The sequence below is a fragment of the Homo sapiens genome, chromosome 1 (assembly GCF_000001405.40).
Source record: "Homo sapiens chromosome 1, GRCh38.p14 Primary Assembly".
Taxonomy (NCBI): domain Eukaryota; kingdom Metazoa; phylum Chordata; class Mammalia; order Primates; family Hominidae; genus Homo; species Homo sapiens.
In genome coordinates, this window is record NC_000001.11 from 171,503,526 (window position 1) to 171,528,378 (window position 24,853).

General features: G+C 37.3%; 1 protein-coding gene and 1 non-coding gene across 19 annotated transcripts in view, besides 2 other annotated features; one reads left to right on the forward strand and one right to left on the reverse strand.

Moving 5' to 3' along the window:
- PRRC2C (proline rich coiled-coil 2C) overlaps nt 1-24,853 on the forward strand; it is a 107,982-nt gene that overhangs the window by 17,996 nt on the left and 65,133 nt on the right. For 13 of the 18 annotated variants that reach the window (XM_005245020.3, XM_005245015.3, XM_005245025.3 and 10 more), the window contains exons 2-11: nt 8,507-8,675; nt 9,470-9,647; nt 11,011-11,120; nt 12,209-12,334; nt 14,066-14,289; nt 18,652-18,734; nt 19,696-19,829; nt 19,910-19,997; nt 21,296-21,440; nt 24,266-24,319. In XM_005245020.3, the coding sequence (XP_005245077.1) occupies nt 8,564-8,675; nt 9,470-9,647; nt 11,011-11,120; nt 12,209-12,334; nt 14,066-14,289; nt 18,652-18,734; nt 19,696-19,829; nt 19,910-19,997; nt 21,296-21,440; nt 24,266-24,319 (1,254 nt within the window). In that variant the 5' untranslated portion in view covers nt 8,507-8,563. The remainder of the gene's footprint in view (nt 1-8,506; nt 8,676-9,469; nt 9,648-11,010; nt 11,121-12,208; nt 12,335-14,065; nt 14,290-18,651; nt 18,735-19,695; nt 19,830-19,909; nt 19,998-21,295; nt 21,441-24,265; nt 24,320-24,853) is intronic. The other 5 variants (XM_005245016.6, XM_006711238.5, NM_015172.4 and 2 more) reach the window with 3 other exon arrangements.
- Nucleotides 3,313-3,848: an enhancer, noted in NCBI's record as "NANOG hESC enhancer chr1:171475977-171476512 (GRCh37/hg19 assembly coordinates)". NCBI's record gives its function as "activates a minimal SCP1, AML or CMV promoter by ChIP-STARR-seq in naive H9 embryonic stem cells {active_cell/tissue: H9 hESC(naive)}" and the evidence as "EXISTENCE:reporter gene assay evidence [ECO:0000049][PMID:30033119]".
- Nucleotides 16,291-16,394, reverse strand: LOC124904697 (U6 spliceosomal RNA). The gene has a single exon (XR_007067239.1). It is a non-coding gene; the product is annotated as a U6 spliceosomal RNA (small nuclear RNA).
- Nucleotides 16,645-16,815: a silencer, noted in NCBI's record as "fragment chr1:171489309-171489479 (GRCh37/hg19 assembly coordinates)". NCBI's record gives its function as "represses an EF-1alpha promoter that drives an FKBP-Casp9 reporter gene in an ReSE screen in K562 erythroleukemia cells {active_cell/tissue: K562}" and the evidence as "EXISTENCE:reporter gene assay evidence [ECO:0000049][PMID:32094911]".

The window sequence follows — 24,853 nt, forward strand, 5'->3', positions numbered from 1 at the left end:
AAAAAAAAAAAGAAACTGCCAAATTGTTTTTCAAAGTGATGGTGCTATTTTCATTTCCGGTTCTTTAATATTCTTGCCAAAACCTGATATAATCATTCTATAATTTTAGCAATTGTATTGGATGTGTGGAGGTATTTTATTTCGGTTTAAATTTGCATTTCCCAAATACAAATGATGCTGAGTGTATTAGTTTGTTCTCACATGGCTAAAGACATACCCAAGACTGGGCAATTTATAAAGTAAAGAGGTTTAATTGACTCACAGTTCCACATGGCTGGGGAGGCCTCACAATCATGGCAGAAGGCAAAGAGGAGCAAAGCTGCGTCTTACATGGCAGCAGACAAAGAGAGAGAACTTGTACAGGGAAACTTCCCTTTATAAAACCATCAGATCTCTTTAGAATTATTCACTATCACAAGAACAGCACAGGAAAAACCCGTCCCCATGATTCAGTTACCTTCCACCGAGTCCCTCCCATGACATGTGGGAATTGAGGGAGGTACAATTCAAGATGAAATTTGGTTGGGGACAGAGCCAAACCATATCACTGAGTATCTTCATATGCTTACTTACCATTTGTATATGTCTGGTGAAGTGTCTCTTCAAATCTCCTGCCGATTTTTAAAAACTGGGTTGGTTGTTATGAGAGTTTTGTATGTATTCTTGATAAAAGTTCTTTCTCAGATCTATGATTTGACAATTTTTTTTCCAGACTCTAGTTTGTCCTTTAGTTCTCAACATTATCTTTCAAAAAGCAAAAGTCCAGTTTATAAATTTCATTTTTTATAGATTGTGCTTTTGGTGTTATATCTAAGAAGTCCTTATCTAAACCCAGTGTCACAAAGATTTTCTATGTTTTCTCTGGAAGTTTTACAGTTTCAGGTTTTACATTTTGTCTATGGTTCATTTTTGAGTTGAGTTTCATATATGGTGTAAGGTATGAATCAGTGTTAAGTTTTTAATATTATGTACACATAATTGCTCCAGTATCATTTTTGGGAAGACTGTCCTTTATCCACTGAATTTCTTTGCATTTGTCAAAAATCAAATGCTTATGTGTATTTATATTTCTAGACTCTATTCTGCTCCACTGAACTATTTGTCTTATTTTTACACCAGTACCACACTGTCTTCATTGCTGTGCCTTAAGTCTTGAAAGCAAGTAGTATTCACCTTCCAATTTCATTCTTTTCAAAGCTGGCGGGGTGGAGGGTAGGGGGTGGGTGGTGCTGTTCTAGAGCCAGTCCATTTCTTTATAAATTTTAGAATCAGCTTGACAACTTTTGTCCTCCAATAAATTTCTTCTGAGGTTTTGTTGGGGATTGCTTTGAATCTGTAGATAAACTTGAAAATAATTGACATCTTAATATTGGGTCTTGTGATCCATGAACATGGCATAAGTTCTTATGCCATGTTTGTGTAGCTTTTTAAATAACGTTTTGTAGTGTTCAATGTGTAGGTCTTACGTATCTTTTGTCAGATGTATCCCTAAGTATTTCAATTTTTTTTTTTTTTTTTTGAGGCAGAGTTTCACTCTTGTTGCCCAGGCTGGAGTGCAATGGCACGATCTCTGCTCATGGCAAACTCCGCCTCCTGGGTTCAAGTGATTCTCCTGCCTCAGCCTCCCGAGTAGCTGGGATTACAGGCATGTGCCACCACACCCGGCTAATTTTTGTATTTTTAGTAGAGACAGAGTTTCTCCATGTTGGTCAGGCTAGTTTCGAACTCCCAACCTTAGGTGATCCACCTGCCTCGGCCTCCCAAAGTGCTGGGATTACAGGCATGAGCCACCGTGTCCGGCTGTATTTCATTTTTTATTGCTATTACAAATGGCACTATATGTAATTTCTGTTTCTGATTGTTTAGTGCTGTATAGAAATACAATTGAATTTTGTGTATTGATCTTATATGCTCTTGTAAACTCCCATCTAGTAGGTTTTTTAAGATATCAGATTTTCTACATATGTGATCATATAATGCTAACTATTACAGACAATTTTACTTTATCCCTTCCAATTTGAATTTTTTTTTGTTGTTTCTTTCTTATTTTGCTGGGTGGAACTTTTAGTATAGTGTTGAACAGAAAGAAGTGTTAAGAGAGAGTGGATATCCTTACCTCATTTCTCTTCATTGAAGGGAACAGAAGGGCAAGCATACAAACTTTTGACTGTTCCCTTCTATTCCTATTTATTGAGGTTTTTGTTTTGTTTCTGTTTTTCAAATCAGGAATGGGTTGATTTTTGTCAGATAGTTTTTCTGCATCCACATCATGCACTGCATAACGATGTTTCAGTCAACAGTGGGCCGCATATATGACAGTGGCCTCATAAGATTATAATACCATATTTTTACTGTACGCTTTCTATGTTTAGACATGTTTCGATATACAAATATTTCAGCTTTTGTTACCGTTGTGTACAGTATTCAGTACAGTAACATGCTGTGCAGGTTTGAAGCCTAGGAGCAATAGACTATACCATATAGCCTTGGTGTTCAGTAGGCTATGCCATCTACATTTGTAAGTACACACTATGATGACACAGTGGTGAAAAGTAGAGCCAGGGTTTCACCATTTTGGCTAGACTGGTCTCGAACTCCTGACTTTAAGTGATCTGTCCACCTTAGCCTCCCAAAGTGCTGGGAATACAGGCATGAGCCACCGTGCCCAGCCAATTTTGCCTTTATTTTTGGAAGATGTTTTGCTGCATGTAGAATTCTGTTTTTATTTTTTCTTTCAGTACTTTAAGCATGTAGCTCTACTGCTTGCAGCATTTCCCATGAGGATTCTGCTGTTATTCTGTTTCTCTGTATGTAAAGCAACATTTTCTCTTGTTACTTTTAAGATTTTCTCTTTATCATTGGTTTTAAATACTTTGATTATGATGGGCTTTGGTGTGGGTTCTTCACGTTTCTTAGACTTGGGCTTTGTTGAGTCTTTTGGATCTGGGTTTGCAGTTTTCATCAAATTTGTACCATTTTGGCCATTGTTTTTTCACTTTCTCAAGCCCCTCTATGTGTAACACCAATTACACATAGATTAGGCTGTTTGAAGTTGTCTTAAGGTTCACTTAAGGTCTTTTTTTTTTTTTTAAGCTTTTTCCACTTTATCTTTCCCATTGGATAGCTTCTATTGATGGCTTCAGATTCACTATTTTTTTTCTTTGTGTGTGTGTGTGTGTGTGTGTGTGTGTGTTTTAATTGGAAAGGGGAGTTTTCTTTTTCATAAAGGGTTGCAGCCTGCAGTATTGTTTCCTTTGGCAGTGTGTCTAAAATGCTAGTAATACCAATTGGTGTATTTTTTTCTCTATGTTTTGATGTTTTCATGTCTTTTGTGTCTCTATTTGTATTCAATCTTTAGCTTGTTGAACATATAGAATACAGTTATAAAGTAGCTTTTTCTTAGACAAGGTGACATAAGAAAAATAACTTCTAACATTTTTGTCCACTAATTCTAACATCAATAGTCAAGACTAGGTTGGTTTCACTTGCTTGATTCCCCTCCCCACCCCCCTTGATTCTGGGATTCAGTTAAGTTACTGGGAAACTGTTTGATCTTTTCAAGTGTAGCTTTAAGGTCTGTTAGACAAGCCAGATGTGGTGACACATGCCTGTAATCCCACCTACTGGGAAGAACCGAGGTGGGAGGATCACTTGAGACCAGCTTGGGCAACATAGTGAGACTCCATCTCATTTATTTAACATAAAAAGAAGAAAAGATTTGTTAGACAAGATCAGAGCAGTATTTACATTAGGGTAATTTTCACCCACTGCTGGAGGCAAGGCTTTGCTCAGTACTCTACCTGGGTTGGGTGCAGTGGCTCACGTCTGTAATCGCAGCACTTTGGGAGGCCGAGGACGGTGGATCACCTGAGATCAGGAGTTCAAGACCACCCTGACCAACATGGTGAAACCCCTTCTTTACTAAAAATACAAAAATTAGCCGGGCATGGTGGCAGACGCCCGTAGTCCCAACTACTTGGGAGGCAGAAGCAGGAGGATCACTTGAACCCAAGAGGCAGAGGTTTCAGTGAGCTGAGATTGCATTACTGTACTTAAGTAGCCTGGGCAACAGAGTTAGACTCTGTCTCAAAAAAAAAATCTCTACCTAATGCCTGGTGAAGCATGTCATGTCATCTTTTTAGTCTTGGTTGTGAAACAGGTACTATTCCCAGCCCTTTATGAACTTCAGGCACTGTTCCCCTCTGATCCTCTCAGGTCTTTCTTTGCTGGCTTGTTAACAATATTAATTCTTCCAATCTGTGAATGTGGGCTATCTTTCTATTTATTTCGATTTCTTGTATCAATATTTTATAGTTTTCAGTGTATGGGTATTTTGCTCCCTTGGTTAGATTACTCCTAAGAACTTTATTCTTTTTGATGCTCTAGTAAATGGGATTGTTTTCTTGATTTCCTTTTCATCTAGGTTGTTATTTGTGAAAAGAAATGCAACTGATTTTTTGTATGTTGATTTTGTATCCTGTTGCTTTACTGAGTTCATTTATTAGTTTCAACAGTTTTTGTGAAATTTTAGAGTTTTCTACTTAAAAGATCATGTCATCTGCAAACAGGGATAGTTTTACTTCCCTTCTGATTTGTGATACCTTTTATTCCTTTTTTTGGTCTGATTGTTGTTGCTAGTCCTTCCAGCACTGTGTTGAATAGAAATGGTAAAAGTGGACATTCTAGCTGTGTACTAGATTTCAGGAAAAAGCCTTCAGGTTTTTCCCATTGATTTTGATGTTAGCTGTGGGATTTTTGTAAATGACCTTTATTATGTTGAGGAATTTTCCTCTGTACCTGTTTTGTTGAGAGTTTTTATCATGAAAGGATGTTAAACTTTGTCACGTGGTTTTCTGCATTTATTGAGATGATCATTTGGTTTTTACTTTTCATTCTGTTAAACTGTGGTATATCACATTGATTTGCATATATTAAACCAATCTTGCATTCTAGGGATAAATCAAACTTGGTTTAATGTGTTATTGAGAAGGATTGGTATTGTCTTGATTTTAAGTAGGGAAGTTAAGGTTCATTTTATGATTCTTTTAAGCTTGAGTGTTCTGCGATGGCTAGAGTTAAATCGGATGTTCTATAACCCTGTGGTTAAATTGTGTATTACTACTTTGTGTTCCTTCATAAGAATATGGAGAAGCTGAACTTGACATTTTATTTTGATTTTTGTTTAGTTGTAACGTTGGACATTTTAATACGCTTGCTTACTAACATTTCTCTAGTGAATTGTCTGTTCAAAGCTTTACTCTTTGGGCTGCTTTGATTTGTTGAGTTCTTATAACATATTTACATTTTGTCAAGTGTTGATTATTTTCTTCACTGACCATCAATTTAATTTTTTTTTTCTTTTTCTTTTTCCTTTTTTTTGAGACAGAGTCTTGCTCTGTCGCCCAGGCTGGAGTGCAGTGGCATGATCTCTGCTCACCGCAAGCTCCGCCTTCCAGGTTGAAGCCATTCTCCTGCCTCAGCCTCCCGAGTAGCTGGGACTACAGGCACCTGCCACCATGCCTGGCTAATTTTTTGTATTTTTAGTAGAGACGGGTTTCACCGTGTTAGCCAGGATGGTCTCGATCTCCTGACCTCACGATCCACCTGCCTCAGCCCCCCAAAGTGCTGGGATTACAGGCCAAAGCCACCGTGCCCGGCCCAATTTGATTTTTTAACCATTATTTTTCTCTTATGCTGGACAGAATGTTTAGTAGGCTTGCTTCTTAAAGTTTTGCCATGAAATAGATGCCTCTGTTCTAGTTAAAAGTGAAACTTCATTCAAAACAAAGAAATGTAAACAGGCAGTGTGGGGATATATTCCTCAGGAGTACTGAGCTGAAGGTAATCAGTTAGTAGTTGAAGCCAAAGGAGCTAATGAGATTTCCTAGACAAGAGTTTAGATAAGAAGGGAAGTGGGGATAGGATGAAGAGCACTAGAGGAAAGATTGACCTTAAATGGAATGAGAAGAAAGATAAACTTTCTGTATTGCAGTGATTCTCAAACTACTTTCAGTTAGAATCACCTGAAGAATTTTTTTTTTTAAAAAAGAGTTGATGCCCAGTTTCCCCCCTGCCCCCAGATTTGTATACAGCAAGAGTTGAGAATCACTGCTTAGAATATATCTGCTTATAATAAGTCGGTAGGTCTTAACATTTTTGTAAGTCTTAGTCAATCTGGAAGACTTGCTATAGAGTGCTGGGCCCCTTCCTCAGAGTTTGATTCAGTAGGTCTGGGTTGGGACCTGAGAATTTTCATTTTTATCCTATTTCTAGAGAAACATGGTTTCTCTAGAATCACATGTCTCAGAAACATTGTTTCTTTTTTTTTTTTTTTTTTTTTTTTTGAGACGGAGTCTTGGTCTGTCACCCAGGCTGTAGTACAGTGGCATGATCTCGGCTCACTGCAACCTCCACCTTCCGGGTTCAAGTGATTCTCCTGCCTCAGCCTCCCGAGTAGCTGGGATTACAGGTGCCTGCCACCATGCCTGGCTAATTTTTGTATTTTTAGTAGAGACGGGGTTTCACCATGTTGGCCAGGCTGGTCTTGAACTCCTGACCTCAGGTGATCGCCTGCCTCAGTCTCCCAAAGTGCTGGGATTACAGGTGTGAGCCATCGTGCCCGGCCAGAAACATGGTTCTGCGAACCGCAGTAGCAGTAGGTGTAGGAAGGAAAGTTTGGATGTTAGATACAGGTTGGTTTGGAGATTTGCTCCTAGGAAGTTTAAGGAGTTCTTTTCTCATGATGTTGCTTTCTCTCTAATATACAGAAAGGGTCTTCACCAAGAGTGCTGCTTGAGTAATAATGGTGTTCAGAAAAGTCCAAGATTTCAGGATTCTTAGTTAAATAACTTAAGCAAGTTGACTGTTTTTCTTGATACATCAGTTCCTTTTTTTTTCACCTGATGAAAAAGCTCTTTGAATTTTAATTTTGTCAGGTAGTGAATATTTACTGTCCTCTTTTGTCACTGTAGATGAATATTCTTTCTATATCTTTGTACATGTTACTGGTAAATTTGCCAATAGGATAGATTTTGGTAGTACATTCTCTTTTCACAACATCATCATCATTAGCGGTCTTGGGGTAAAATTAATTGTATACATTCTTCTACATATAGTAGCAAATTGTATTAGTGTAGTCCTATTGGTTGTAGGTCAGTCTTTTTTCAGGTTGTCGGTTGTCTCAAGGAAAGATGGTTTATTGTAAACGTATACGTGAAAAGCGAAATGGTTATCTACACTGTTATGTGGGAGGAGGCAGCATAGTGTAATGGATTGAACCCGACACCCTAGTTTCAAATTCAATCTGATTTAGTCTTTATGTGTAAAAATCAAGACAGTAACTACATTGTAAAGTTGTTTGACTGAAATGAGATAATAGAGGTGAGAATGCCTGATAAATTTTATGGAACTATACAAACGTTGGGTGGCATTTTACATGCATATAAAATGACATCTCTGCTGATTCTGTAATTGACAAATATAAAACTAACGGATGAAACGAAATTTATAAAAGTAAAGTGGATATAGGCTTTACTTTGATGCTTTTTGCTTGGTATACCTATTCTATACTATCTTTGGCTCCTGTGTTTCAGTTCTCAATGTTTTCAGCTATTGATCGTTTCTATGGTAGAATTAGCCATCTTCTACCCTACTGCTACAATAACCCCTCAAAAACAAAAACAAAAACAACCGTTAGGTTGATATGTATCTACAACTTAATTAAATTGAAGGGAAATAGCATGAGACATAATTTTTCTTTTTTGCCTATCTATTAATAGACTAAGTTAGGGTGCATCACCAAGATGAGGGTACATTAGCTCTAAAGATGAGGATTCTCTTTGTATTTGAATGCTTATGAAAATGTTATTTATTTCTAACAACTTCTCATATGTAAGGGAACTTTATATATGCTTTGAAAAAAATGGATACTATTTTTTGAATATTTAGTCCTCAGTGATGAAATAGGTTATTTTTATATACCTTGTGTTTGTGAGATGTTTTACCTTTTACGAAATGAAGAGAACATAGAACGTTGTTTCTGTTCTAAACTGTTAAAGTTAATAGAGCTTTGTTGGGCACATACTGCCTGATGATGATACAGGGATGTAATATGTAGGGGAATGAAGATGTTGTCCTGTCATTTGGATTCCATGTGCATAGGTTGATGTGTCAGTCATTTCAAGCATATTAAATTGGATAATATATCTTTTTAAAATAGACAGTCTCAGTGGGTTCACTGTGTTTTAACTATTCACGACAGCATGGAATTATAACCCTTATTCTCTATGATAGAGTTAAGCAGTTATAACCATATATAACTGATATGTTTCACAAGTGCATGATAGCTTATTGTGATCAATTTTGTTGTGTATTGGTTATTGGAATTTGACAGTTAAAAAGTTCTATGAAATTATCATTGATATGGGAAGTTTTTTCAGAATTTCTGTGAACATTTGAATTTACTGAGTTTTTCATCCTTATTTTTCTTTCTTATGTACATCTTAAGGACTGGGGTTTTAAGGGGTGTGGCAGGAGGTTTTGGACTCGATGAGTTTCCACCGAAATGTCGGAGAAGTCAGGCCAGAGCACAAAAGCAAAGGATGGGAAAAAGTATGCAACACTCAGTTTATTTAATACTTACAAGGGGAAATCATTAGAAACACAGAAAACCACAGGTGAGTAAAATCAAGTGACACTTATGTTTTTCATGGTTTGTTTTGTTACTATAAGTGATACACCTGCTGCTATGAGAAGCTAGGATGTACCCAAGTTAATACAATGCTATTTACATTTGCGTTTTTATGCATGCACACATTTTTCAGAGGATATGTGATAAACATCTTATAATTGAAAATTTATACTTTCATAGAGCCCTTTAAAAATATTTTTGTTTTTCTCTGTTGTCAGCAGAAAAAAGGTAGAACTGTGTGGCTCTAAAGGGGAAACTCAGTCAATGAGATTGATAGGCACAGACCTATATATTAGTGGGAATTTAGTATCTTTTTAATTATAGACTAGAGAAAGTCTTATGTTTCGTGTGTGGGGGTGTGTGTGTGTGTGTGTTAGATACTGTGACCTAGTGAATATAGTGAAAACTGAAAATCATGCATGGCATATTAACAGTATTCTTTATGAACATACAGTCAATACATTTATTCTCTAACATTCTAAGTTTTGAGTTTGAAATAGATTCTCTGAAAAAATATCAGTATTATCAATGTTTTCTGTAGTGTGTTGAATTGCATTGTTAAATTTTTTAAGGAATCTGTTAAATGCTGTTAAATGGCTTGATTTCTACACTGAAATGTGTTGCAGGTGTGTAGCTTAGTTTTAAAATTATTATTTTAAAATACATGAATGAAAATCATTCAGGGATTGCATTAATTCCTATTGTTTTTCTATATTGTTTGAGGAATAAAATGGGTAATAAAATAGATGTTCTAAGAAAGTTGATGTTATTGATCTTTAGTTGCAGCTCGACATGGATTACAGAGTCTTGGAAAAGTCGGTATTTCACGGCGTATGCCTCCACCTGCTAACCTCCCAAGTCTTAAAGCAGAAAACAAAGGCAATGATCCTAATGTAAACATTGTACCTAAAGATGGCACAGGGTGGGCATCAAAACAAGAGCAACATGAAGAAGAAAAGTGAGTCAAAGTCTGTTAAAGAATGAAGCCCTTCCCCTTTCTTTGTAGGGAACTTATGTTTGAGTACCTGCTATTTGCTAAGTGTTATGCTGTCTGTATTACATATTACATATTTTATACTCTTTAAAGTCTTTTGACTATAGTAACTTTTGGTTAATTTTCCCTATTAAAAGTATTTCAATTTGTCAGGGTAGAACAGATGACAGAATTGGGAATCACAACCTTGCTTATGTCATAGCCTTTATTAGGCTCCCCGCTTTCATACTACCACCAACTCAGGTATTCCCTTTCCAATATGATTAAGAGTTGACTCCGATACCTAAATTCCATGATACTAAGGATGTCTGTCTGCCAATTTACTGTGTATCTCCAGCATTGAAACTGCCTGATGTTTCATAGGTGCTCAAGTAATAATTTGTATATACTGTAGCAAGAAAGTTAGGATAGAATTAATAGTGTCCATCTTAGTCATCCTTCTTTCAACAACTATTTAGACTTCTGTATGTCAAGGATTTTGCCAGACTCTTAGCTAATTGAATGACCAAGCCTAAATAGTGGTAATTTAAAAAAAATAAGACAAGCCATTGGATACTTGATGTTTTCTTGCCTATCTCTTATCAAAATTCTATACTCCTGCCTGGGGAGATTTATATAGTAAATTTGACTACTTCTGTAGTAATGTATCAAATACGTAAATGCTTGTTAGCTGTAGTAAAATTATTTTATAGTAATGAGTCAGTTATAGGTATGAGTGTCCCAGAAACACATTGCATTTTGTGAGCCTCTTAACTACTTTCTTATTTTTAAGCATTACCTCATTACAAGAATTGAATAAAACTGTACACCCTTTCAAAACACCTTTTACTCATGTGAATGCATTAGGCAGGTTGCTGTTACCTCTTTGAATAACAGTAGTAAGTACAGTGGTGATCCTGTTGACTGCCAGGTGGGGAGTTTGCTTAGCTTTAGCCCTCAACTAATTTCACCAGTCCAGACTGTATGTATGTTTATACTGCTATTTTTAATTATAAGTGTTCACTTCTTCAAAACAGATATTTGGTAACTGTGTTTAATTAAAAGTGTGTGTGTATGTGTGTGTGTGTGTGTGTGTGTGTGTGTTTTAAACAAAATGGAAAACAAGCAAAACTCATCTCATTGGGTTATTCAAAGGTAGAGATGAAAGACGATAAAAATAGCCATAATTCATTTAAAGGAATGTTGCAGAGAGAAAACATTTATTGGAGATTTACCAATGAATAAACATATAGCCAAAATAATTTGTACACAGGTTTACCTTAAATATAATATTGATTTTATTTAAACATACAGTATCTGAAATAATGGATTCATATTTTTTTTTAAGAACACCAGAAGTGCCACCAGCACAGCCAAAACCTGGGGTTGCAGCTCCCCCAGAAGTAGCACCTGCTCCCAAATCATGGGCCAGTAACAAGCAAGGTGGGCAAGGAGATGGTAAGTGGACATTAGTTGGGGAAGCTGCCTAGGCTTGATAGTTACTGAACAGCCATGCAGGAGATAAGGGGTGAACTGTGTTTTGGTAGAGCCATAAAGCATTGTTAAAGGATATACTCAAGGCTCTTAAAAAGGTTTTTTAAAAAATCTCTTGGGCTAGCTAAGTTCCAATGTCAAGAGCCATGTATGAGTCAATGATATTGGTTAAGGAAAGGAGTCTTTAAGATACCCTGTGCCCCACATCATTTTATCTTTACCTCTGCATATCCAAGCAAAGCTTGTACCTTCAAAGTATCCAGCCATCGCATAGATTGTTAGAAACCATACTCATTTTTCATCTATGTCCCCAACATCTCCTGTTTCAGACATGCTGCCACGATTCCTGAGAGGAGAAGAGCTAGAAAGTAGCCATAAAGCACCACTGCTGTAATATTCCCCTTTCCCCCAAGGAATGATGGAATCCCCAGCAGAATTTAGTTTTCCCACTTTCGAAACAGGAACTGTCTATAAAACATTCTATGGAAGAACCAATCTGGGCCCTCAAGCTAACAAAACTAGCTGTTTTAATTTATAGAAGTACAAAAAATAGGTAGATAGGAAGTTGGGTGAATAGTGAGGTGTAATAATCTTAGCTGTAAATTAAATCAAAGTAAAGTAAATGAAGCAATAAATTAAATAAAGGCATTTTAGCCTCATCTTGATCTTGGGGTCTTTATTCATCAAACACTATTTCAGTAATATGATTTGAACGAATTCTGAGAATTCTTAGCAGAGGAATTTGATGTGTATTGAAAATGTAAGGAGTCATAATGAAAGAGAAACAAGCTCTTCACTTGCATGGTCATCTTAAATGAGTCCTCTGGAATGGTACTGGTAGATTACTGTCTTAGACTTTCATCTCCTCATGGCTGATCATTAGCTTTTCAAAGGAGTCTAGGTGAATTTTAAAGTGATATGGCTATGAACAGTCATCACTGAAATGTGGAATAATTTAAGAGAAAGAGGCAGAGAGCTCTATCCTGGGAGGGTGGTTTGTATTATCTTCAGTATAAAAGTTACCTTTAATGTTTTTTTAAAAAAATCTATAGGAATCCAAGTGAATAGTCAGTTTCAGCAAGAATTTCCCAGCCTGCAGGCAGCTGGGGATCAGGAAAAAAAAGAAAAGGAAACAAATGATGACAACTATGGACCTGGACCCAGTTTACGTCCACCAAGTAAGAGTACTTTCTCTTTAATACAAAATGAGATCATATTTGTGTATTATCTTGCAATACAACCTCCTGCTTGCTGTTGCATATATTATTTGCCTACTTCGAAAAGGCAGACTTTGTACTATAGTCACTTGCTACTCAGGTATGATTTTTGCACCGACAGTATCACTGTAACTTGAGAACATGTTAGAAATGTGTCATCTTGGGCCTCGCATCCAACTTACTAAATCAAAATCTACATTTTAACAAGATGTCCAGGTGACTTTCATGTATACCAATATTTGGATTTTTTTATACTAGTTTTTGAGCAGGCTTCCCTAATGTGTAACTATTTACTTACTACTGTATTAATATTCGGTGATTCCTCACTTTCTGAGCTCAAACTGAGGAAACAAATAATTTTGGATAATGAGGGATAGTTTATGTACATTACAAAGCAAAAACTAAAAATAAAAGTGTAAAATGTTCGAGGGATTTTTAAATGTCTTCTTAATTGTGATAGCTTCATACTGTCATTACCAAGTATCTTAAAGGACCTTGTTTACATGGGGAGGTTCGTCTATGACAGAAGTGTTTACAAATTCCATATTTCTAAAAACCTGATGTATTTCACATTTTTTAGCTCTTGTCAGATGTAAATAAATCTAAATCTTATTTTTCAAGCGTCATAATGTGGTTGGTGCATTTGTATTAGAAATAGATGTGCTGACTCCTCTATTTTGTTCAGTTGAATTTTCACCAGTTGTCTATTGCTGCATAACAAATTTAGCAATGTAAAACAACAAACTGAACTATACTTATGATATCCCACTGTATCTGAAGGTCAGGAATCCAGGGTCAGCTTAGTTTGAGGTTCTGGCCAAGGGACTCTCTCTCAAAGCCGCGATGAAGCTGTCTGAAGCTGACTTGACTGGGGCTGTACTTCCAAACTGACTGGTGTAGCTCTTGGCTCTTTAGTTTCATGGTCTCTTAGTGGGGCTGCTTATGACATGGCTTCTGCAGAATAAATGATGAGAGACAGACACCCTCCACCCAAGACAGAAGCCCACAGTCTTTAATAACTTAATCTGGAGAGGGACATGCTATCACTTCTGCCATATTCTACAGGTTACACAGACCAACCCTGCTATATTGTGAGAAGGGACTACACTTAGTGTAAATACCAGAAGATAAAGATCATTTGGGCTATCCAGGAGACTGGTTACCATGCAGTGTTTCTTAGCAAAACCACCTAGCTGTTTTATTTGGTTAAGTGTAATTACACCAGATAATTTCACGCAATCTGTTCACTTGGGGGCATCTGTAACTAACAATAATATACTGGAAACAGACAAATGAGAATATCACTGTCAACCCTTCCAGATTGTAGAAGTCCCATCTTCCTTCCCTCAGGAAACCTCAGGTGTGTCACTCTGAAACATGGCCATCTGATATATGGAGAACAGTGATTTTAATTTCTATACCAAATATTGATAAAGCTTCATAGAGAAGTTCTAATATTTTCTTCTCCCACCCCAGTATTTGCTTGTGGTGACACCCTCTGAGGTACATCCTCTCCACTTTGGAAGCCACTACTACGCAAACAACTTGAAAGCATTAGTAGGACCTGGATTAGACTTTTCCTGCTCTTTCACTCTGCTTACTTGCTTTCATTTTCCTGAAATACATTTTGGTTTCACTTTGTTCCATTTTCAGATTTTTATCTTTTTCCTTTTTTCTCTGCCTTCATACTAGATGTTGCTTGTTGGAGAGATGGTGGTAAGGCTGCTGGCTCACCTTCGTCATCTGATCAAGATGAAAAGCTCCCTGGCCAGGATGAAAGCACAGCTGGAACATCAGAGCAAAATGATATCCTCAAAGTGGTGGAAAAGAGGATAGCTTGTGGTCCTCCACAGGCTAAACTGAATGGACAGCAGGCTGCTCTCGCTTCCCAGTATAGAGCTATGATGCCTCCTTATGTGAGTATTGTTAAATGAACAAGCATTCAAACAAGTGGTTTTTGATCTGGGGTCCAAGGAGCGAATTGTTATAGGGAAAAGTTTAGGTCTTTGTTTTCATTAACATCTAACTAAAAATTAGCATTCTCTTTTATTGTATGGTATATTGTGAGAAGGGACTACACATGGTGTAAACACCAGAAGATAGAGATCATTTGGGCTATCCGGGAAACGTTACCACGCAGTGTTTCTTAGCAGAAACACCTAGCTGTTTTATTTGGTTAAGTGTAGTTGTACCAGATAGGAAACAAATCAGCAGTATCTTTATTATTAACAGGGATTGCAGATATTTTCATATCACATTACATTCAACATTACTTCAAAATAATTATTAGACCCATAGATAATGATCTAATAAAGAAGCACGTACGTTACCATACCACAGATTTATTTTGTAAATACAGAGAACAATTACACTAACATTCTGTTTAATATAATTGTTCTTCTTTGCAATATTTTTGTATTTTACATTATGCATTTAAAATGTTTTCCTGAGAGGAGGTCCATAGGTCCATAGGATTCATCAGACTGCCAAAGGGGTGGTTCATGGAAAAAATGATAAAGAACACTTGCCGTAGTTTCAAAGTTTTTATTTGTGTACTTTTAATATTTTTTTCAATTTTTTTTCAATTTTTTTTCAATTTTTTTTTTTTTTTTTTTTGGAGACAGAGTCTTGCTCTTTCGCCCAGGCTGGAGTGCAGTGGCATGATCTCAGCTCACTGCACCCTCTGCCCCCTGGGTTCAAGCAATTCTTGTGCCTCCGCCTCCCGAGTAGCTGAAATTACAGGCATATGCCACCACACCTGGCTTTTTTTTTTTTTTTTTTTTTGGTAGAGATGGGGTTTTGCCATGTTGGCAAGGCTGGTTTTGAACTCCTGGCATCAAGTAGTCTGCCCACCTTGGCCCCTCAGAGTGTTGGGATTACAGACATGAGCCACCTCACTTGGCCTTTAAACTTTTTTTAATGGAAAATTTTAAACATGTACAAAAATAAAGATAACAGTGCAATGAATCTGCCTCTTTTCCTACCACTTTTTTTTTTTTTTTGAAACAGAGTCTCGCTCTGTCACCCAGGCTGGAGTGCAGTGGCATGATGTCGGCTCACTGCAACCTCTGCCTCCTAGGTTCAAGCAGTTAACCTAGCCTTAGCCTCCTGAGTAGCTGGGATTATAGCTGCCCGCCACCATACCTGGCTAATTTTTATATTTTTAGTAGAGACAGGATTTTGCCATGTTGGCAAGGTTGGTCTTGAACTCCTAACGTCAAGTGATCCACCCGCCTCAGCCTCCCAAAGTGCTGGGATTATAGGCATGAGTCACCATGCCCGCTCTTTTCCTACCACTTTGGATTACTAAAGCAAATCCAAGATATTTCATCAGTAAATATTTTAAGTTCTATTTTAAAGGATAAAGACTTGGGGAGAAGGTTTGCAATGCTGTTATACATAAAAAGAAAACTAATTCCTTGATATTCTCAAATATTATGTTAGTATTCCAGTAGTTGTCTCATAATTAGGATCCAGGCAACATCCATTCGTTGAGATTGGTTCATATTTCTTTTAAGAATCTTGTTACCTATAGATATTTCTATCTCCTGTTTCCTTTGGAGCTTATCTGTTATAATTTGTTAACCTGTGAAGTTCCTCAGATTTTGGATTTTGTTGATACTATCTTTAATTTCATTTATTATATACTCTGGCACCCACCCCTGCCCTCCCACCACATTTTCTAAATTATTAGTTAGATTTGGTGTCCTCATTCTTTGTTTACTTTCAGCCCAATGTGAAGTTGTAAAACAAGTCACATGTGCCTGGATACATCCATTTAGTTTTCCAGAAGACTCATTACTCTCATAGGAAACAAAAATCTAGGTCATATTTATTTAGTTTGTTGTTTAACTCCTAATATTTGAATCCTAAATATCCATCATACTTTCCATTCCTTCATATTGTTGATTTTATTTAAAAATATGGAATGCTTCATGAATTTGTATGTTATTTTTATGCGGGGGCTGTGCTAATCTTCTCTGTATTGTTCCAATTTTGCTGCCAAAGTGAGCATATACATTACTATTTTTTAATCATTCTAGACTAACAGAGGGAGATGAATGATTAAATACAATTACTTGTTAAATGTTTTTTGCTCTGATGCCTAGGCTGGAGTGCAGTGGCACCATCTCGGCTCACTGCAGCCTCCACCTCCCAGGTTCAAGCGATTCTCCCGCCTCAACCTTCCAAGTAGCTGGGATTACAGGGGCACGCCATCACGCCCAGCTAATTCTTGTATTTTTAGTAGAGACAGGGTTTCACCATGTTGGCTGGGCTAGTCTCGATCTCCTGACTTGAGGTGATCCTTCCTCCTCGGCCTCCCAAAGTGCTGGGATTACAGGCGTGAGCCACCGTGCCTGGCCATTAAACGTTTTCCTAAAAGAAGTTTGGGAGTATGCTGACCTGGCCTTGAAAAATGATTTATACCCAATTACTTTTTTTCTAATCATTTTCAAATTGTGCTACCAAAGACCCCTGAACTTTCATGTGAGAGGGTAGGATAGGAAAGAGGGGAAACCACGTGGGCATCATTCCCACTTTCATCAGTGATTATATTTGAATAAAGTGTTCCACTAATTAACAAAAACATTTAAATATCACTACTGTATACTGAGAATTTAAAATTTGTTTCTAAAATGAATTTTCTGGCAAATTCCTAGATTTTAAGCATTTTTTAAGACCACATGAAATTATGTCTGGAATGACCAGATGAAGGATTTAATGCAACTTTAGCTATGAACATATGCCTCCAGTAGTGTCTTTATTAACTTCAGTATAGAAGTGTGATGCAACTGAAAATTCTCCAGAGTATCCCTCAAAGTTTCCCCAGCTGAGTTTCAGCTGTTGCTTGACTTAATTAACATTGCTTCAACCTGACTTAAGAGAAATTTCTTCTCCTTTTTTTTTTTTTTTTTTTTTTAATAAAGACGGAGTTTCGCTCTGTTGCCAGGCTGGAGTGCAGTGGTGCGATCTCAGCTCACTGCAACCTCCACCTCCTGGGTTCAAGTGATTGTTGTGTCTCAGCATCCTGAGTTACTGGGATTACAGGCACGCCCACCACACCTAGCTAATTTTTTTGTATGTTTAGTAGAGACAGGGTTTCACCATGTTAGCCAGGATGGTCTCCATCTCCTGACCTCGTGATCTACCCGCTTCGGCCTCCCAAAGTGCTGGGATTGCAGGCATGAGCCACTGCACCTGGCTGAGAAATTTCTTCTTTAGACAGCATAATCATATAAACATAGCCTTACTTCAAATGTAAGAATTTTCTTATCTAACACACAGTTACTACTTACTTTTTAGAAAAACTAGTCTTCTATTTCAGGATATAAATTATGTTTTTACAGTAATATAATTTCCTATTATTTACATAATTTGACTTGGATATAAGCATATAGTCAATGACCAAGACATTCTTTGACCCTTCTTCCCTTCAAAATCATAGGATGAATCCCTTGGTGTTATTTGTTCCCAGAATCTATCTTATGTCTTCTCTTAAGTTTAGTTTCCCAGAGCCAAGTTCCTACAGAGAACAGTATCTGGACCTGTTTGGGACAGTTTATAATGATCATCTGTGCAGTAACTTGATTGAGAATTCACCTATGCCATATACATAGAAAATTTCTGGGTAGCTCTCTGTCCCCCTTTTCCAACTCACTTCCTTGGATTGTGGACTGTCTTTTAATTTTATCTGAGCTGAGTTCTTCCCCACGCCTGCCACCCCTACATTTTTCTTTTTGAGGTGCTGGGGCTGGGGACTGATGTTATCCTCCTTATCCACAAATCTGCCTCTGATTATTCTACTCCTGCTTATGGAGGAAGGCCAACAGCATTTGCTTTTCAAATATTTTCACTTTGCCGTTTGCTAGGGTGCATGTGTGTACATATCCTGTTGATACAATTACTTTAATGTAATTTATATCTTGTTGACACAGTTACTTTAATGTAATTTTACATTACATATCTCATTGATACAGTTACTTTAATGTGTACATATCTTGTTGATAGTTACTTTAATGTAATTTTATTAATATAATACAGAAGTTTTTCATATGTGCTCTAGTTATTCTATTTATAAAGAGTTGCTAGTGGCAATGGCCTTGGAAATGGGTTGCTATTGAGGATGAACAGATAACAGTCATTAATAGTTTTATTCACTTAAATCATTGTTTTATAAATTGTAACTTCAGGCCTAGGCTCAGATTTATATATATATATAATTTTTTAAAATAACTAGGTTGCTAAATTTATCACAATTTTTTGTTTCCTTCATTCAGATGTTCCAACAGTATCCGAGGATGACATATCCTCCTCTACATGGTCCCATGAGATTCCCACCTTCTTTATCTGAAACAAACAAGTAAGGCTATTAAATGATTAAAGTCTGTAAGGAATATATGCTTGTTAAGATTTCCTGAAGGTTGAGTGGATTGTGTGATTCTGAGTTGTGTAATTGATCGTTTTCCTATCCTCACAGTACAGTTGTCATTAGTAAATAATTGGCTAACTCTTATAAGACAGAACAGAAATAATTCATTCTTTTAAGCATTTAAATTAATTTACATAGGATTTTGAAAACTGAAAACCAGGCCGGGGACGGTGGCTCACCCCTGTAATCCCAGCACTTTGGAAGGCCGAGGTGGGCGATTCGCCTGAGGTCAGGAGTTCAAGGCCAGCCTGGCCAGCATGGTGAAACCCTGTTTCTATTAAAAAAGTACAAAACAATTAGTCGGACGTGGTGGCGTGCACCTGTAATCCCAGCTACTCGGGAGGCTGAGGCAGGAGAATTGCTTGAACCCAGGAGGCGGAAGTTGCAATGAGCCGAGATTGTGCCATTACACTCCAGCCTGAGCGACAGAGCAAGACTCCGTCTCAAAACAAAAAGAAAACTGAAAAACATGGCCCTAAAATTGATGACACTTGTTTTTCTCTTCTTCCTTTCATATTATGGACTCCCCATTTTCTTTCTTTTTTTTTTTTTGCTTATTATATGAGACTTGAACATCCTCTTGAATTATTTTCCTCAAAATATATATTTTGAAGTTAGTTTTATTCATATCGTTATCCTTTTAACATATTTGTTTTATCTTAAATATTTGAGAATTCTTAAAAACTTTGTCAGCTGTTACTTAAGAGTTACGTATTATCCTATCATTATGTATTAATATTAATTTTTTCATACACATGTCCATGCAGAACATATTAGGTATCTTGGTGTAGAAAACACTAATGTTGAAATGAACTAAATTCCAATCTTTTAGTATTCTCCCAGTTTAGTATCATAAACTTTTGTATCTTTTCCATGACCTGCCTTTCATTAGAGGCCTTCGAGGAAGAGGCCCACCTCCTTCATGGGCCTCTGAGCCTGAACGCCCATCCATTCTTAGTGCATCAGAACTGAAGGAGCTTGATAAATTTGATAACCTAGATGCTGAAGCTGATGAAGGTTGGGCAGGTAAGAGGCAAAATTAATTAAGTCCTTTAAATTGTTAGATGCTTTCAAGCAGCCAGTCTGAGTTTTCCTTAATTTAATAGGTGCTCAGATGGAAGTAGATTATACAGAGCAACTGAATTTCAGTGATGATGATGAACAAGGAAGTAACAGTCCTAAAGAGAATAACAGGTAAGTTGTGATATCTTTTACTAATAACAGTATGAATTTGTTGATACAATATTAGCTACTTATGCAAAGAAGCTTTGTTAATAGACAATTGTTTGTTATTTGTAGAATTTATATATTCTCAGAAGTTTTACTGAATAGAGGGTGCTTAATGAGCTAGATTAATACAGTATACAGCTAATCAAGGAATTAAAATTTGATGCGTCTCAAGAAAGTTTATTTAAAAACATTTAGGGCTGGGTGCGGTGGCTCACATCTGTAATCCCAGCACTTTGGGAGGCCGAGGCAGGCAGATCACTTGAGGTCAGGAGTTCGAGACCAGCTTGGCCAACATGGTGAAACCCCATCTCTACTAAAAATACAAAAATTATCCAGGCGTGGTGGTGCATGCCTGTAATCCCAGCTACTCAGGAGGCTAAGGCAGGAGAATCACTTGAATCCGGGAGGCGGAGGTTGCAGTGAGCCAAGATCATGCCACTGCACTCCAGTCTGGGTGACAGAGCAAGACTGTATCTCAAAAAAAAAAAAGATATTTAGATGCTTGGCACCTAGTTTGGAGATCTTTTGAGAACTGGTATTAGGAACAATTTTTTAAACTGTTACTTGCTTGACCTGATCTGTATTTACAAAATTGGAGAATAATTCCCTGGGTTACTACAGCTTTTTCAGGTCCTCGATTTCTTAAAACTTAGTAAACTGCATTAGGGCCTTGGAAAATGGGGAGCTTTTTATTTCTTTTTCCTTCATTCTGGAATATTGGAGCACCAGTCAGGAATATATGGGTTATATATCATAAAAGTTGGGCTTTTAAAATATATGGAAGTTTGGAAGCACATTTGGTATAATTTTTCAGTTATGGCATTGTGACAAACATCGTTTTATGATCGTTTAAGAGATACCTGTGGTTTGTCGTGGCTTTGAAAAAATACTGTAGTTTGATTTATCTTTTTATTAAATCAGAATAAATTAGAATGCAGTTAAATAATAATTCCAATATTACCCAGTTACATTTGGATTGTATTTCTTATGTAGAGGAGATAGGAAATGATGTGATTATATTCTTTTGCCAGGATATATGCCTGACATGTGTGTTTAGATTTGACAACTACTGTATTGCACTTTCATAGTATATATTTATTGAAAGAACAAATTAGCACTAATGGGTCACACACCCATCTCATTCCTTAATACATTTCCCCCCCCAGAAACCATACAGAAATAATTTTTTTAATTGCAAAAATAATGTGTGTACTTATGATACAGTTGGTCCACTTTATTTCTTCTGCATTTTGATTTTTCAGTGAGGATCAAGGTTCAAAAGCCTCTGAAAACAACGAAAACAAAAAAGAAACAGATGAAGTTTCCAACACTAAATCATCTTCCCAAATACCTGCCCAACCATCAGTAGCAAAAGTTCCCTATGGGAAAGGACCTTCATTTAATCAGGTTTGTTGGACTCATGGAGATCCTTGTTATTGCAAGGATCTCCTTATTGTAATTACTGTGTAATACTATGGATAATTATTCTTACCACAGAGTGGAACGGGACTTAGAAAAAGGAAACTGTGTATTTTTTTCTTGAATAGTCTTGAATCTATCATAATTTTTATTGCATTTAACCGGAATTATCAATACAGTAGCTAAAGTTATCAAGTGAAAACTAAAGCTTCACATTTTTTTTACCTTATGATATAGCTCAATCATAGCAAAGTGTAGGGATAATATTTTTCTAAAATAAAATAAACATTGCTGAAGTGCTTTATGGTTTATTGAATACTTAAATACTAGTCAGTCTTTTTGTGTGAATGGTACACTATCTGTAGGGAAATCACATAGTGAGTAGGGAGATCTAAAGTCTGAATCATTTTGAAGAACATTGTGAATGAAGGGAAATGTGTGTGCAACAGATATTTGATCCCACTTCTGAGATGGTAAATGGTTGCAAAAGCTGCATTATAAACTGGGAATAAAAAGGACTACTTTCAAGGGAGTCCACTTATCTCTTTATTAAGGAATCAGTATAGTTAGCATGTATTTGTTGGATTCATACAAAATAGATGGAGGAACTTGTCCCTTCTGAGGGCTAAAAGGAGGTAGCTAACAGTTTCCTTGACAGGAAAAAAAGTCAGTAAGCAGTTACAGTGTGCTAAGTGGCGTAATCATAGAGGGTACAAAATAAATTCTTTGAGCATTCATTTAAGGTAGAAGGCTGCAGAAGACTAAGTACTTGAGCTAATTCTTAAACAAGCATGATTTAGGCAGTATAGAAAGGGAATATAGCTGTTACAAGCAGTGGAAACACATGTAGAGAAGTATGAGAAAACATGGCACATTCAAGAAATTCTAAGTAGTTTGATATAGGAGAGAGGTAAGAGAGCTATGTAAGAACCACTTCTTTAAAATGTATGCTATATGAGGGTTTTAATCTTAAGGCATTGATGATCCATTGAATAAATTTATGAACCCTGAAAAAGAAGAATTTTTTAAATAACATTTTAATAACTTTTTTGTGTGACTTTTTACTTATTGGCATAATGGGGAATGAGAATTTTTCATGAAAGAATAGAGGAATAGATGGAATATGTCTTGATGTCTTTGACTTTTTTGTGACAGTCATGTGACAGTTTATATTAGCAAGTGAATGTTTCATGTATTTTGTTCCATTATGTTTTAGATTTTCTTTTTTTAAGATAAATCTCATATTTTTAGTTTGCCACTAGAAAAGAATTGAGCTTACATAAATAAAATTTAGTAATTAGAGGTATAGATCTCCTCAGTCAGATTTGCTGGATCAGAATTCCAGAACAGCTAGACTAAAATTCTTTTTTTCCCTCTTGAGACAGAGCCTTGCTCTTTCACCCAGGCTGGAATGGAGTTGCGCGATCTTGGCTCACTGCAACCTCCACCTCCTGGGCTCAAGAGATTCTTGTGCCTCAGCCTCCCAACTAGCTGGGACTACAGTGGTGCACCACCACACCCAGCTAATTTTTGTATTTTTAATAGGGCTGGGGTTTCCCCATGTTGGCCAGGCTGGTCTTGAACTCCTGGCCTCAAATGACCCACCCGCCTCAGCCTCCCAAAGTGCTGGGATTACAGGCGTGAGGCACCACGCCTGGCTAAAATTTTTATTGTAAAGTGCATTTAAGATTCTAACCTTACTGAAATAGCAGAGTGATTGCATAAAAGTAATCTTGTAATGAGTGATATGCTTTTATTTAAAAAGAGAGGAGAAAGATGTTTAGCAATCTTATGGTATTGAGAAAATCATTACATTCAGAAATATATCTTTTTTTTTTTTTTTTTTTTTGAGATGGAGTCTTGATCTGTCTCCCAGGCTGTAATGCAGTGGCGTGATCTCCGCTCACTGCAACCTCTGCCTCTCAGGTTCAAGCAATTCTTCTGCCTCAGCCTCCCAAGTAGCTGGGATTACAGGCTCCTGCCCCCATGCCTGGCTAATTTTTGTATCTTTAGTAGAGACAGGTTTCGCCATGTTCGCCAGGCTGGTCTCTAACTCCTGACCTTGTGATCCGCCTGCCTCGGCCTCCCGAAGTGCTAGGCTCACAGGCATGAGCCACCGTGCCCGGCTGAAATATTTCTAATAGATATATCTTTTCTTTTTCTTTCCTTTTTTGAGACAGAGTCTTGCTCTGTCACCCAGGCTGGAGTGCAGTAGCATGATCTTGGCTCACTGCAACCTCCGCCTCCCAGGTTCAAGCAGTTCTCCTGTCTCAGCCTCCAGAGTAGCTGGGATTACAGGCACCCGCCACCACGCCTGGCTAATTTTTGTATTTTTAGTAGAGACAGGGTTTTGCCATGTTGGCCAGGCTGGTCTTGAACTCCTGACCTCAGGTGATCCGCCTGCCTCGGCCTCCCAAAGTGCTGGGATTACACGTGTGAATCACCGCACCCAGCAGATATATTTTTTCTTACATGGTTCTTTTTAAGTAATTCTTTCAAGCTGGTGTGGTGGCTCACATCTGTAATCCTAGCACTTTAGGAGGCTAAGGCAGGCAGATCACTTGACATCAGGAGTTCAAGAACAGCCTGGCCAACATGGCAAAACCCTGTCTCTACTAAAAATGCAAAATTACCCAGTTGTGGTGGCAGACGCCTGTAATCCCAGGTATTTAGCAGGCTGAGGCATGAGAATTGCTTGGCCCCGGGAGACAGAGGTTGCAGTGAGCCAAGATCATGCCACTGCACTCCAGCATGGGCAACAGAGCAAGACTGTCTCCAAAATAATAAGAATAATTCTTTCTTCTTTATAATAGGAACGTGGAACATCTTCACATCTGCCACCACCTCCAAAGTTGCTTGCACAGCAGGTAAATTTTAAGTGCTTGTTTATGGATTATATATTTTATTTGACCTTTTGTTTTGGTGGAAAGACACCAAATTTTTTATTCAAAACTTTTATGAAACAGTTACTAACTTTTTACCTTGTGACTCTTACATGTCTTACTCTTCATCCTTTTCATTTTCATTCTCAGTTGATAAGCATGCTTCAAGTTTCACTAAGAAAATAAGAAGTACCTAGGAGATAACTTTTTTTTTCTCTCTCACTGCCCGTATACTTTTTCTTCCTATTGTTTTTGGTGCTAAGGACACTTTTTTACTTGGTTCCTTGTATCCTTTTCCACTTATGATAATGTTATCTCATATTTTAAGAAAAACAACTTCACAAAAACCTCTCTCTTTACATTACTCCATCCCACTTTCCATCCCATTGCAGTGTCTACCCTATTTCTCTGTTCTCCATCAGTGAAATTTTTTTTTTTTTTTTTTTTTAGACAGAGTCTAGCTCTGTCGCCCAGGCCGGAGTGCAGTGGCGTGATCTTGGCTCACTGCAACCTCTGCCT